Genomic DNA, 15,173 nt, shown 5'->3' on the forward strand with positions numbered 1-15,173 from the left:
TTTCTAGGCACTCCTAGAGGGAATTCTTAAGGTGAATCCAGTTGAGGCTGGGCATGGTGGCTCACACCTGTAATCCCAGCACTTTGGGAGGCCGAGGCGGGCAAATCACTTGAGGTCAGGAGTTTGAGGCCAGCCTGGCCAACACGGCGAAACCCCGTCTCTACTAAAAATATAAAAAATTAGTCACGTGTGGTAGCACGTGCCTGTAATCTCAGCTATTCAGGAGGCTGAGGCATAAGAATCACTTGAACCCAGGAGACAGAGGTTGCAGTGAGCCAAGATCGTGCCACTGCACTCCAGCTTGGATGACTGAGACTCTGTCTCAATCAATCAATCAATCAATCAATTAAGTTAAAATAAAGCAAGCAAGCAAATCCACTAGAGGCATCTATGAAATAATAACTTAGCTCTCCCAGAAAAGGAAGCACATATTCGTTTGTTTTTAAGAATAAAATAAACTTAGGATGGCATACCAGGCACATTTTTCTTTTTAGTGTTATGTTCCGATAATTTCCTGGAGGGTGTTCTCACTTTCACATAAGCAGTGTAGTGGCCTTCTCTCATCGAGCCACTATGTTCCACTATGCCATAGAGACCGTAGAGAACTTTATCTCCCACACTTGCATTCTTTTAAACAAAGAAAAAAACCCAAATTAGTAATATTTGTTAAATACTGTTTTAAGGAAAAGTAAGTAAATGTATATCTGCTTAACATAAGAAAAATGCATAGTAAAACTGAGATACTTTCCATACTTACTAGGCTGGCAAAATGGAAAAACCTTAACAAGGTTCTCTGTTGGCTGATTTGTGGGGAAAAGAGCACTCACACATATTGCACATGGGAATGCAAAGGGTACAATCCCTATGCAGGGATGTTTCTTTTTTTCTCTCTCTCTTTTTCTTGAGATGGAGTCTCGCTCTGTTACCCAGGCTGGAGTGCAATGGTGTGATCTCGGCTCACTGCAACCTCCGCCACCCAGGTTCAAGAAATTCTCCTGCCTCACGTTCCCAAGTAGCTGGGATTACAGGGGTCTGTCACCACGCCCAGCTAATTTTTGTATTTTTAGTAGAAACAGGGTTTTACCTTGTTGGACAGGCTGGTCTCAAACTCTTGACCTCAGGTGATCCACCTGCCTTGGCCTCCCAAAGCGCTGGGATTACAGGCGTAAGCCACTGAGCCTGGCCTATGCAGGGATATTTCATGTTATCAGGCTAAGTTCTGTATGTATTACTCTTGGATTCATTAATCCTTTTTCTAGGATTTGATCCCACAAATACATGAGCAAAATGTCAAAAGACATGTACCACACTATTAATTGCAGGATTATCTGTAATATCAAAACACGAATTAAAATGTCTATAAATTGGGGACTGGTTGAATAAACTATGATGCATCCACACAATAGAGTATTATGCTGCTTGAAAAATGGAGTGTAGACTATCTCTAAATGGTGCTATGGAATAAGCTGTAGGATATAATGTTAAGAGTAAGGCAGAAAAAAGGATACACAGTGTCAGCTACCATTATTTAAGAGGGGAGATGAAAATATACATGCCTGTCTGCTTATATTTAAAAAAAATTATAAAAGAATAAGCCATAATTTTTAAAATGGTTACCTATAAGGGGAAGGAGCAAACAGGTAGAATGTCATGGAGAAAAGCCAGATATCTTTCAATTTACCTTATTTAGGTACATTTGACTTTGGACCTATATAAATATGTTATGTAATTATTAAACAAAATTAAATTTTAAAAGAAATTCCAAAAAGTGAAAATTAAAAATTGCACAAATGAACAATAGATCCAGTCCTTATCTGGATAATAATTGATTTTAAAAATCACATTTATGAGACAATTGAAAATATGAACACTAGGTGATATGACAGAATTATTAAATGATATTGTGGTTATGTTAAAAAGTGTAGAGGGAGCAATTCTTATCTGTTAGAGATACATAGTGAAATATTATGGGTGAAATGATTCCTGATGTTTGCTTCAAAATAATAAAGGAGAAGAAAGTGAATTAGTGTGTGGATAGGGCAGGACTGGCCATGGATGTAAGGTTTTAGGGCTGGGTGCTGGAAGTTCATGGTACTGTTCTATTTGCTTTTGTGTTTATTGGAAATTCTCCGTAATAGGTACTTTTTAAAAATATGTTTTCATAAGTTTAACACAAAGATTGTTAAATTTCATTATTATTTACCACATTATTAAATTCTAGGAATACTGAGTATTAACAATTGACAGATAGTGCTGGTATTCCACAGCAGATACACTGTAATTCAACCAAAAATTGCATTTAAGATGATTTTGTTTTGATTATCAATGTGCTGAAAGTATTAAGTTCAATAAGCATTCTATTACATACTACAAAATCTAGACTTCTAGCCAGTAATCATGAACAGGACAGTATGTTACCCCATAACTGCTTCCTTCAAGGAAGACCAAGTCATCTACTTCATCTACACAATTCTTACATGTAAAATAAGCAATGATAAGCCAGTCTGCTTTCTGTACCTAATTATTAAAGTAGCAGCAGTTTTGAAGTATCACACTCCGCTGACAAGTACACCACTCTCAGTAGTACACATGAAGTGGCACGAAAGACAATTCACTTCTACACTGATTTGCAAAAGATACAGAACTCCGCAAATGGTAAAACTACTACTGATTAAACAGTTCACAAGGAACAATCGAGGACACAAAACCTCCTTCTCTCAGCAACCATCAGCTTCCAGTAGCACTTACAAACAGCTTAGACCTTCATAACCATCATGCCTCATGCCTTACCTTTTCAATTTTCCTTTGTCTCCCAAAGGACAAAAATCATATTCAATGTATTAAGTGTTCCACATATTACTGACTTAATCACTGGCTATTAAAATTCCCTTTCAGAAGAGAAGTTATTTTTTTAGAAAAAGCATTGTCTAATAATATATAGGATACTTTCAAGCATATTAATTTATAAATCAATTAAATATCTTAATATACTGTACCTTACAAGTAGCAGAGCAGAATGGTGCTAAATCGAGCATAAGTGGAAAATCTACATGTCTGTTTACTTTACGAAGACTCAAGCCAGCCTTAAAAAGACCAAAACATTTTTGAAATGCAACAATTAGAAATAAAGCATTGTCTTTGTTAACTAAAACCAAAAGAGAAATTGTAGGACTTAGTTTTTTCATAGATAAAAAATGTGACTAATGTATAGTCTAAAATTAATATGAATAAATTAAAAATTAGGTTTCATAAATTGTTACTGCAAAGATTATTCATTTACATGGGGATTTTTACCACAAACAATAGGGGGAATAGTTACTTTCATTATGGCTTTTCAACACTTATGGAAAAATAAATTCAATATAAAAGCTAAGCTACTGACACATATGCTATCATGAAAATATATTCAACTAAAGAGTAAACAGATTGGTGTTCTAGGCCTAACTCAGTGACTGGTTGTCAACTTGATTCCATATATAAAAGGATGAGATTAGGTCCTTTTCAGTTCTAAAATTCAATTATATTCATTCATTAAAACAAACAACCTGAACACTCAAAACATTTTATCAGTAAAAGTAAATGCTATATATTACATCAATAAAATTGTACTTTTATGTTCTTAAATATGCTCTCTTTTTCTAATTTTCAAAGGCAAACCTTAAAAAGTATATGCTTTGCATTATGTAATGGTAATAAAAACTAGCTAATAAAATATCAAAGGTATTGAGGAGACCCATAAATAGAAATGGACTCTGTTGGAATGAAAAGATACCTAAATCTGAAATGAATGGGTAGACAAAAACGAAAAGGGGCAACCTGTCATGACGTCAATGACTGATCTTTCATTTGCATACTAATCACAAGTTTACTGTAGATCTGTTGCTTTTTTATGGCTTATCTTTCTTTAAAAACAAAAAACCCTTTTTTTTTGCCGAAGTGTATTCACCTACTGATTTGTTTTTTCAAGTGATCTTTAGAAGGCTTGAAAATAGCTGACATGAAATTATGACATCATATCCCAGGAATATTTAATCTACATTCAATTTCTTTGCCTTTTTCATCAGGTGACCTCTATAAGCACCCAATACCAGCACTGTCTGAGATCATTTCAGCTATTGTGTTCTCCTCAATCAGTACTTTGCTGTTGAGAAACTACCCCATCATACAAGAGACTGTGTGAAGGACTTTAATATAAGATGAATCTTTTTTTAGGTGGTAATTTTTGGAAAATATCTAGACTTATATTTGCATATACAGTCTCCTGCCTTTTTCCCTTTAATGAAATGATACACTGCATTTTCCATATTAAAATATAAATTTGATATCCTGCACATTGGACATTTAAGCTAGGCCTTACGTCTGGCATGATCTGAGTGGGGCACACACAAATTTTTGTGTATATCTATTTCCTTGTGGTAGATTCTTAGTCAAGAGTAATTAGCTTTGTTCAAAAATTGTTTTGTTTAAAACATTACTCGGCCGGGCACGGTGGCTCATGCCTGTAATCCAAGCACTTTGGGAGGCCGAGGTGGGTGGATCACCTGAGGTCAGGAGTTCAAGACCAGCCTGACTGACATGGTAAAACCCTGTCTCTACTAAAAATACAAAAATTAGCCAGGTGTGGTGGTGGGTGCCTGTAATCTCAGCTATTCAGGAGGCTGAGGCAGGAGAATCACTTGAACCCAGGAGGCGGAGGTTGCAGTGAGCCGAGATCGCGCCATTGCACTCCAGCCTGGGCGACAAAAGCGAAACTCCATCTCCAAAAAAAAAAAAAATTACTCAATGTTCTTCATATTCATTACTAAATTGCTTTCTAGCAGGTGTTACCAACTTACACTCCCAATGCTGGTAAATGAAAATGTCTCTATCTCAGTTCATCCTTATCAACACTACTACATCTTTGCTAATTTGGACAGGTTGAAAAAAGAATCTGCCATTTTATTTTGCCTTTCTTTTGCTGGGAAGGATGGACCTTTTTCATACTTGCCTGGACTTTGTACTTCTAGAAATGTCAGTTGATATTCTTTTCCCATTTTACTATTAGGGTCTGATATTTTTCTTATTGATCTTTAAGACTCTTTATATACTTACAATATTAAAATTTTGGCATATTTATGACAAAGATCTCTATTCAGTTTCAGATTTGCATTTAAGTGTTGTGGATGTTTCTGATATACAGCCCTAAAGCTACCATAGAGAAGGCGTTCAGGGATGTCAATGAACTAGAAACACAGGCATTGCTTAGGGACTCTGCTCCCTACAATGCCCAAACCCTGGGAATAAGAATGTGGCTTTGCTGACATTACATTTAGCTTGAGAGAAAAAGGGACCTAGATGGATGTCCATAAATATTTCCCTTTAAGGGCAAGAATTATTTCTGTAAGTTGTTTCTAAACAGGGATGCAAGTACCAAATATAAAATAACTGCGGTGCATCATGAAATTAGCTTCTGCAATCTGGCATTATCCTCTCTTATTCACACAGAATCACTGCAGATGTACCCTTTCCATTAGGCGCTCTGATATGACAAGACATAATACATCTGCTTCTGTTCTCTGTGTCATTTCAGTTCCATTGAGCTTCTACAACCTTGGCTATGGAAGAATTCAGAACTTAATCTAATCTGTGGATAGGGATGGCAGGATGGAGAAAAATCTCCTCTCGCACATCTGGATCCCACCTAAAATGTTGCAAATATGTAAACTATCAATAGTTTTCCTTGAGATTTCCTTCTTAAGGTTTTATATTTAGAAAGTCTTTCACACAGAGGTCAAGTTAAATATTCATTTAAGGGCCAGGTGCAGTGGCTCACGCCTAAAATCCCAGCACTTTGGGAGGCCGAGGTGGGCGGATCACCTGAGGTCAGGAGTTTAAGACCAGCCTGGCCGACATGGTGAAACCCCATCTCTACTAAAAATACAAAAATTAGCTAGGTGTGGTGGCACACACCTGTAATCTCAGCTACTTGGGAGGCTGAAGCAGGAGAATCGCTTGAACCCAGGAGTTGGAGGTTGCAGGGAGCCGAGATTGTGCCACTGTACTCCAGCCTGGCAACAGAGGGAGATTCTCTCCTCTACCCTCCCAAAAAAATTATTTAAGTTTTCTCCTTGTTTTCTTGATAATTTGTTTTATACAATTAAGATTTTTATTTGAAAATTGTATGGGCTGGGTGTGGTGGCTCATGCCTGTAATCCCAGCACTTTGGGAGGCCCAGGCAGGTGGATCACTTGAGGTCAGGAGTTCGAAACCAGCCTGGCCAACATGGTGAAATCCTATTTCTACTAAAAATACAAATATTAGCCAGTGTGGTGGTGGGCACTTGTAATCCCAGCTATTTGGGAGGCTGAGGCAGGAGAATTGCTTAAACCCGGGAAGTGGAGGTTGCAGTGAGCTGAGATTGTGCCACTGCACTCCAGCCTGGGTGACAGAGCAAGACTCTTATTTCCATCTGGTCTCGAACTCCTGACCTCAGGTGATCTGCCCACCTCAGCCTCCCAAAGGCCGAGGGAGCCACCGTGCCCAGCCACAAAACTTATTTTCTATTACCACACAAACACACACAGAGATACCATTTAGGTTCCTGCTGCCTAAATTTTCAAATATTGTGAATTAAACAATTTTAATCAGGAAAGTCTTATAAACTATTATGGCTAGATGAGCAGTAAATCTCACATGACACATTTTAAAATGCAATAAGTTACTGGTTATTGTCTAATTCTTGACAATATTCTATAGGACTTAATGCTCTGTAAAACACATGATGAAAATTATGGTGCTACTGAAGAAACTTACCTGATGAAATCTTTTCAGGTGGAGAATTAGGACAGCTGGAACAGCAGAAATGAGCAATTGCTTCCTGGCATTAGTATAAACTCCTTCTACTTTCTTTTCTACATAAAATACAATAAATTTATTTATAAAATTCCATTTTATACATTATCTACCATATAATAAAAATTTATACAGAAGTATCATACCACATTTTTAAAAATGTTAAAGAAATTGGACTTCTGATGAAAGGACAGTCTTTACTCCTTCCTAAAACTCTGCTAAAATGAAAGTAAAGGAATTTTTTTTAAGGCACACAGTTAATAAGAACAAAGAATAGGAGAGGTAACACGAAACAAAATTTTGGAAGGTAGAAAGCAGATGGACTAGAATTAATTTCTGTCAATGCCCTCCAGCCAAAAATCACCAGAAGCACGTGTAGTTGAAGAATTTGGGTTTAAAAAGATTTCTAGATTTCTAATTTTTTTTTTTTCTTTTGAGATTGCTGTTACCCAGGCTGAAGTGCAGTGAGGTGGTCATGGCTCACTGTAGCCTTGACCTCCCAGGCACAAGCAATCCTCCCACCTCAGCCTCCCAAGTAGCTGGGACTACAGGTGCATGCCACCCCACCTGGCTAATTTTTAAAACGTTTTTTGTAGACATGGGATCTCACTATGTTCCTCAGACTGGTCTTGAACTCCTGGCTACAAGCGATCCTCATGCCTTGGCCTCCCAAAGTGTTGGGATTACAGGTGTAAGCCACTGTGCCCAGCCCCAATTTCTAAATTCCTAAGATTTATGTTAGTATTTGAACATTGCCAATTGCATATAGGTATTTCTTCCTTCTCCCATTTCTTTATTACTAGTGTATTAAGTATGTCTTTATTCTGATGCTTTGACATCTAGGGTCTGGTTAACATTGGAGGGACAACCCCTCCCAGGGCTAATTCCTAGAGATAGTAAACAACTTACATATGCATGCCTGTCACATGCAAACCAATCCAGAGCCCAGAGCGCATACCCCAACAACCTCCTTCACTGGGCTCTTACACTCTGGGACACTATCCACTTGCTGTAATCACTCTAGGACCAGGCACCTGATAACTAGAGACAGCTCCTATATCCCAGAGCCCACTAATATTATTCAAACTAGCCAATCCTAAGCCTGCTTAGCCTGCCTTACCCATTTCTTCCTTTAGAAATCACACTAAAGGCTCCTGCCCATGTTTTCCCCTCACTCCCCTACCTCCTGACTGACGCTGGTGCTTCCCTGTGTGGTCCTGTGCAGCATGGTGGGCCCCCACTTCTTGGGAACTATGAATAACACACTATTTCTTCAGTGGCAATTATCTCCTGATCTTTTAGCCTCACCGTACCTGAATAATAAAGCCTACATTTTAAAACAAGTAGTCACTAAGAATCAGAGTATTCTTTCCATTTACTCAAGGATAAAGATGAACTGAAAATTTCTTATTTTCCCCCTTTCTCCACTTCTCTCTGACCAACTAATCATGGTAATTATAGCGCTAGCTTTATGACATGCTACTATTTAAAATCTTCAAAATTTATCTTACGTTGAGTTTACAACAGATTGATAGGATCTGTGAAACACATTAGCTTTATCATTTATCTTACCAGTGATACAATTAGAAGTTTTAGGGAGGCCAGGCATGGTGGCTCACACCTGTAATCTCAGCACTTTGGGAGGCCAAGGCGGGTGGATCATGAGGTCAGGCATTCAAGACCAGCCTGGCCAAGATGGTGAAACCCCATCTCTACTAAAAATACAAAAATTAGCTGGGCATGGTGGTGGGCGCCTGTAATCTCAGCTACTCAGGAGGCTGAGGCAGAATAATCGCTTGAACTCAGGAGGTGGAGGTTGCAGTGAGCCGAGATCGCGCCACTGTACTCCAGCCTGGGCAACAGAGTGAGACTCCATCTCCAAAAAAAAAAAAAAAAGTTGTAGGGATATTTCTTCTGGATAGATTTCAGATAGGTAGTTCCCTCAAATAAGATTATATGGGTTTGCATTTTCAAGGCAGAGTTGTATACTTCCTGCTCTTTATTTAAATAAAAAAACTTGAAAATCTGTTCTGCCCAGTATTGTAAGCGCTCAGGTACAAATATGAATGAAACAATCTCTGCCTAAGTAACACAAGTATAGGGACAAGATTCTCAGTAAAATTCTCAGTGAAATTTGTAACTCACTAGACACTATCAGGAGATCAATAATTATGTAATTAAAAAAATAATTACCTGCAAAACTGGTTTCTTCTTGGTACTTCTGTTTGTTTTTAGTACAATTCTCACATAGAAGCTTATTATTCCCCATTAGTAATTCCATAGATGTAAACTGGTAGAGACAGGACTGAATTGAACATTCTTTAGAAGTAGTTATATAGCTCTGAGAAAGGGTCTGAAAAGCATTTTGGGGACTATAAGACCTCAAATGCTTCCCCTCTAAAAAACATAAATTATTTGAAATATTTAGTGGCTGATTTTCTCTGTCAAAATCTTGATCTCCAGTTACAGTGCTGCTCAAACGAAGTTCAGAAATAGCTTCTGCCATTTCCTTATCACCACTGTCAGTCTCCTTGGTGTACAGCAGTTTACCTGCTGACAGAGGGTAAAGGGGTCCATCTGGCTGCACACCGGATCCACTACTGGATCTGAACAGCCCAGTCTGCTTTGAAGCACTTTCAGATTCTGAAGGCTCACTGTCAGCATCAACATTGCTTTCAGAATGGCTGGCTTCTTTTTCACTGTCATCAGTAGGGCTTTCATTCAGACGTGACTCAGAATTCATGAGGCTGGCAAACATTAAAGAATCCCCATTCATTTCAAGGTTTTCATTTTTCTGGTATGTGACAGTTTCTCCAGATGACAATTTTCTAATACATTTTCGGTCATGAATTAGTTGACTCTGTAAGTTGACAGTGTTTTCAAAGAAAAGAGTCTTGTAACCTCATTGAAAATAAATGCCAATAATTCTTAAACATATCATAGTTATTAAATACCATTTCTCTCAGATCCATTTCCTAAGCCTACTGAAACTAAGATCACTAGAAGATATACTAAAAAATAGTTCTATTTTAAAAGTAAATCTTCACACAAGAAACTAACAACAGTGTAACAGAGGCTATTTGTGGGGAAGGAAATAGGACTTTTGTAGAACAGGGCTATGAGGGAGACTTTTTTCTTTAAAAGAAAAATCTCTTTTAGAGACAGCATCTTGCTCTGTTGCCCAGGCTAGAGTGCAGTGGCACAATCACAGCTCACCGCAGCCTCAAACTCTCGGACTCAAGTGATCCTCCCACCTCAGCCTCCCATGTAGTTACTACTACAAGTATGTACCACCATACCTGGCTAATTTTTTAATTTTTTGTAGAGATAAAGTCTCGCCATGTTGCTTAGGCTGGTCTTGAACTCCTGACCTCAAGCAATCCTCCCACCTTGGCTTCCCAAAGGAGACTTTTCAGTTACTGTATAAGCCTTTCCATACTTGTTCATTTTTAAACACTGAAAATGTATCTGTTTTTTAAACAAATTAAAAAGTAACAAAAGTAAACTATAAACTATTATGACACAGTGTTGCTTGGTTGCCATAGATCTGGAAGAAAATTACGGGAAAAAAATAACCTAAGTTTGGGAAGGGGGGAATCAACTAATTAAAAATTTTAAGCTACCTGAAATGTTTCACTAAAGTTTCCACACAGCTGATGGCTTGAAGTACATTTTTCTTTTCCTATACCTTGGCTGAAGGGTCAAGACAAAAAATAAAGAAAAGACTATCATGAGTAATTGATACTCAGTTTTAGTTATTCAGGGGAAGAAGAGTAAGTTATAAAAAGTGTCTTGCCTCAATTTTTTTTATCTGCAAAATCAGGAAAAATAACATTAGCCAACAAGTTCCACTCCGCTGAATTTATATAGTACTTTTTTTTGGAAACAAACTTTCCTATTATACATATAATACTAACAGTTGGTAAACAAAGCGGCCGGCCAGGAAGCTCGAACTGGGTGGAGCCCACCACAGCTCAAGGAGGCCTGCCTGCCTCTGTAGACTCCACCTCTGGGGTCAGGGCACAGCCCAACAAAAGGCAGCAGAAACCCCTGCAGACTTGAATGTCCCTGTCTGACAGCTTTGAAGAGAGTAGTGGTTCTCGCAGCACAGAGTTTGAGATCTGAGAACGGACAGACTGCCTCCTCAAGTGGGTCCCTGACCTCCGAGTAGCCTAACTGGGAGGCACCCCCCAGTAGGGGCACACTGACACCTCACACGGCCGGGTACCCATCTGAGACAAAGCTTCCAGAGGAACGATCAGGTAGCAACATTTGCTATTCAGCAATATTCGCTGTTCTGCAGCCTCCGCTGCTGATATCCAGGCAAACAGGGCCTGGAGTGGACCTCCAGCAAACTCCAACAGACCTGCAGCTGAGGGTCCTGACTGTTAGAAGGAAAACTAACAAACAGGACATCCACACCAAAACCCCATCTGTCAGTCACCATCATCAAAGACCAAAGGTAGATAAAACCACAAAGATGGGGAAAAAACAGAGCAGAAAAGCTGAAAATTCTAAAAATCAGAGCGCCTCTCCCCTTCCAAAGGAACACAGCTCCTCGCCAGCAACGGAACAAAGCTGGACGGAGAATGACTTTGACGAGTTGAGAGAAGAAGGCTTCAGATGATCAAACTTCTCCTAGCTAAATGAGGAAGTTCGAACCCAATGCAAATAAGTTAAAAACCTTGAAAAAAGATTAGACAAAGGGCTGACTAGAATAATCAGTGTAGAGAAGTCCTTAAATGACCTGATTGAGCTGAAAACCATGACAGGAGAACTACGTGACAAATGCACAAGCTTCAGTAGCCGATTTGATCAACTGCAAGAAAGGATATCAGTGATTGAAGATCAAATGAATGAAATGAAGCAAGAAGAGAAGTTTAGAGAAAAAAGAATAAAAAGAAACAAAGCCTCCAAGAAATATGGGAATATGTGAAAAGACCAAATCTATGTCTGATTGCTGTACCTGAAAGTGACAGGGAGAATGGAAAACACTCTGCAGGATATTATCCAGGAGAACTTCCCCAACATAGCAAGGCAGGCCAACATGCAAATTCAGCAAATACAGAAAACGCCACAAAGATACTCCTTGAGAAGAGCAACTCCAAAACACATAATTGTCAGATTCACCAAAGTTGAAATGAAGGAAAAAATGTTAAGGGCAGCCAGAGAGAAAGGTCAGGTTACCCGCAAAGGGAAACCCATCAGACTAACAGCAGATCTCTTGGCAGAAACTCTACAAGCCAGAAGAGATTGGGGGCCAATAGTCAACATTCTTAAAAGAATTTTCACCCCAGAATTTCATATCCAGCCAAACTAAGCTTCATAAGTGAACGAGAAATAAAATCCTTTACAGACAAGCAAATGCTGAGAGATTGTGTCACCACCAGACCTGCCCTACAAGAGCTCCTGAAGGAAGCACTAAACATGGAAAGGAACAACTGGTACTAGCCACAGCAAAAACATGCCAAACTGTAAAGACCATCAATGCTAGGAAGAAACGGCATCAACTAACGAGCAAAATAACCAGCTAACATCATGACAGGATCAGATTCACACATAACAATATTAACCTTAAATGTACATGGGCTAAATGCTCCAATTAAAAGATACAGACTGAAAAACTGCATAAAGAGTCAAGACCCATCAGTGTGCTGTATTCAGGAGACCCATCTCACGTGCAGAGACACACATAGACTCAAAATAAAAGGATGGAGGAAGATCTACCAAGCAAATGGAAAACAAAAAAAGGCAGGGGTTGCAATCTTAGTCTCTGATAAAACAGGCTTTAAAACAACAAAGATCAAAAGAGAAAGAAGGTCATTACATAATGGTAAAGGGATCAATTCAACAAGAAGAGCTAACTATCCTAAATATATATGCACCCAATACAGGAGCACCCAATACAGGAGCACCCACATTCATAAAGCAAGTCCCCAGAGACCTACAAAGAAACTTAGACTCCCACACAATAATAATGGGAGACTTTAACACCCCACTGTCAACATTAGACAGATCAATGAGACAGAAAGTTAACAAGGATAGCCAGGAATTGAACTCAGCTCTGCATCAAGTGGACCTAGTAGACATGAACAGAACTCTCCACCCCAAATCAACAGAATATACATTCTTCTCAGCACATCACACTTATTCCAAAATTGACCACACAGTTGGAAGTCAAGCACTCCTCAGCAAATGTAAAAGAACAGAAATTATAACAAATTGTCTCTCAGACCACAGTGCAATCAAACTAGAACTCAGGATTAAGAAACTCACTCAAAACCGCTCAACTACATGGAAACTGAAAAACCTGCTCCTGAATGACTACTGGTTACATAACGAAATGAAGGCAGAAATAAAGATGCTCTTTGAAACCAATGAGAACAAAGACACAACATACCAGAATCTATGGGACACATTTAAAGCAGTGTGTAGAGGGAAATTTATAGTACTAAATGCCCACAAGAGAAAGCAGGAAAGATCTAAAATTGACACCCTAACATCACAATTAAAAGAACTAGAGAAGCAAGAGCAAACAAATTCAAAAGCTAGCAGAAGGCAAGAAATAACTAAGATCAGAGCAGAACTGAAAGAGATAGAGACACAAAAAAAAACCCTTCAAAAAATCAATGAATCCAGGAGCTGGTTTTTTGAAAAGATCAACAAAATCGATAAACCACTAGCAAGACAAATAAAGAAGAAAAGAGAGAAGAATCAAATAGGCACAATAAAAAGTGATAAAGGGGATATCACCACTGATCCCACAGAAATACAAACTACCATCAGAGAATACTATAAACACCTCTACGCAAATAAACTAGAAAACCTAGAAGAAATGGATAAATTCCTCCACACATACACCCTCCCAAGACTAAACCAGGAAGAACTTGAATCCCTGAATAGATCAATAACAGGCTCTGAAATAGAGGCAATAATTAATAGCCTACCAATCAAAAAAAGTTGAGGACCAGACGGATTCACAGCCGAATTCTACCAGAGGTACAAGGAGGAGCTGGTACCATTCCTTCTGAAACTATTCTAATCAATAGAAAAAGAGGGAATCTTTCCTAACTCATTTTATGAGGCCAGCATCATCTTGATACCAAAACCTGGCAGAGACACAACAAAAAAAGAGAATTTTAGACCAATATCCCTGATGAACATCGATGCAAAAATCCTCAATAAAATACTGGCAAACCAAATCCAGCAGCACATCAAAAAGCTTATCCACCATGATCAAGTGGGCTTCATCCCTGGGATGCAAGGCTGGTTCAACATATGCAAATCAATAAACGTAATCCATCATATAAACAGAACCAAAGACAAAAACCACATGATTATCTCAAAAGATGCAGAAAAGGCCTTTGACAAAATTCAACAGCCCTTAATGCTAAAAACTCTCAATAAATTAGGTACTGATGGGACATATCTCAAAATAATAAGAGCTATCTATGACAAACCCACAGCCAATATCATACTGAATGGGCAAAAACTGGAAGCATTCCCTTTGAAAACTGGCACAAGACAGGGATGCCCTCTCTCACCACTCCTATTTAACAAGTGTTGGAAGTTCTGGCCAGGGCAATCAGGCAGGAGAAATAAATAAAGGGTATTCAATTAGGAAAAGAGGAAGGCAAATTGTCCCTGTTTGCAGATGACATGACTGTATATTTAGAAAACCCCATCATCTCAACCCAAAATCTCCTTAAGCTGATAAGCAACTTCAGCAAAGTCTCAGGATACAAAATCAACGTGCAAAAATCACAAGCATTCTTATACACCAATAATAGACAGAGAGCCAAATCATGAGTGAACTCCCATTCACAATTGCTTCAAAGAGAATAAAATACCTAGGAATCCAACTTACAAGGGATGTGAAGGACCTCTTCAAGGAGAACTACAAACCACTGCTCAACAAAATAAAAGAGAACAGAAACAAATGGAAGAACCTTCCATACTCATGGATAGGCAGAATCAATATTGTGAAAATGGCCATACTGCCCAAGGTAATTTATAGATTCAATGCCATCCCCATCAAGCTACCAATGACTTTCTTCACAGAATTGGAAAAAACTACTTTAAAGTTCATATGGGACCAAAAAGAGCCTGCATTTCCAAGACAATCCTAAGCCAAAAGAACAAAGCTGGAGGCATCAGGCTACCTGACTTCAAACTATACTACAAGGCTATAGTAACCAAAACAGCATAGTACTGGTACCAAAACAGAGATATAGACCAATGGAACAGAACAGAACCCGCAGAAATAATACCACACATCTACAACCATCTGATCTTTGACAAACCTGAGAAAAACAAGCAATGGGGAAAGGATTCCCTATTTA

At 38.7% G+C, this 15,173-nt stretch overlaps 1 protein-coding gene across 18 annotated transcripts in view; it reads right to left on the reverse strand.

Moving 5' to 3' along the window:
• The window catches only part of USP45 (ubiquitin specific peptidase 45), an 85,522-nt gene that overhangs the window by 4,448 nt on the left and 65,901 nt on the right, over positions 1 to 15,173 (reverse strand). For 12 of the 18 annotated variants that reach the window (XM_005267170.5, NM_001346025.3, NM_001346023.3 and 9 more), the window contains 4 exons: positions 9,025 to 9,691; positions 6,793 to 6,890; positions 2,997 to 3,083; positions 474 to 627 (listed from right to left, as the gene is read on the reverse strand). In XM_005267170.5, the coding sequence (XP_005267227.1) occupies positions 474 to 627; positions 2,997 to 3,083; positions 6,793 to 6,890; positions 9,025 to 9,691 (1,006 nt within the window). Of the gene's footprint in view, positions 1 to 473; positions 628 to 2,996; positions 3,084 to 6,792; positions 6,891 to 9,024; positions 9,692 to 15,173 lie in introns of those variants that run through there. The other 6 variants (NR_144344.3, NM_001346026.3, XM_047419423.1 and 3 more) reach the window with 4 other exon arrangements.

This window comes from Homo sapiens, chromosome 6, assembly GCF_000001405.40.
Source record: "Homo sapiens chromosome 6, GRCh38.p14 Primary Assembly".
Lineage (NCBI taxonomy): Eukaryota > Metazoa > Chordata > Mammalia > Primates > Hominidae > Homo > Homo sapiens.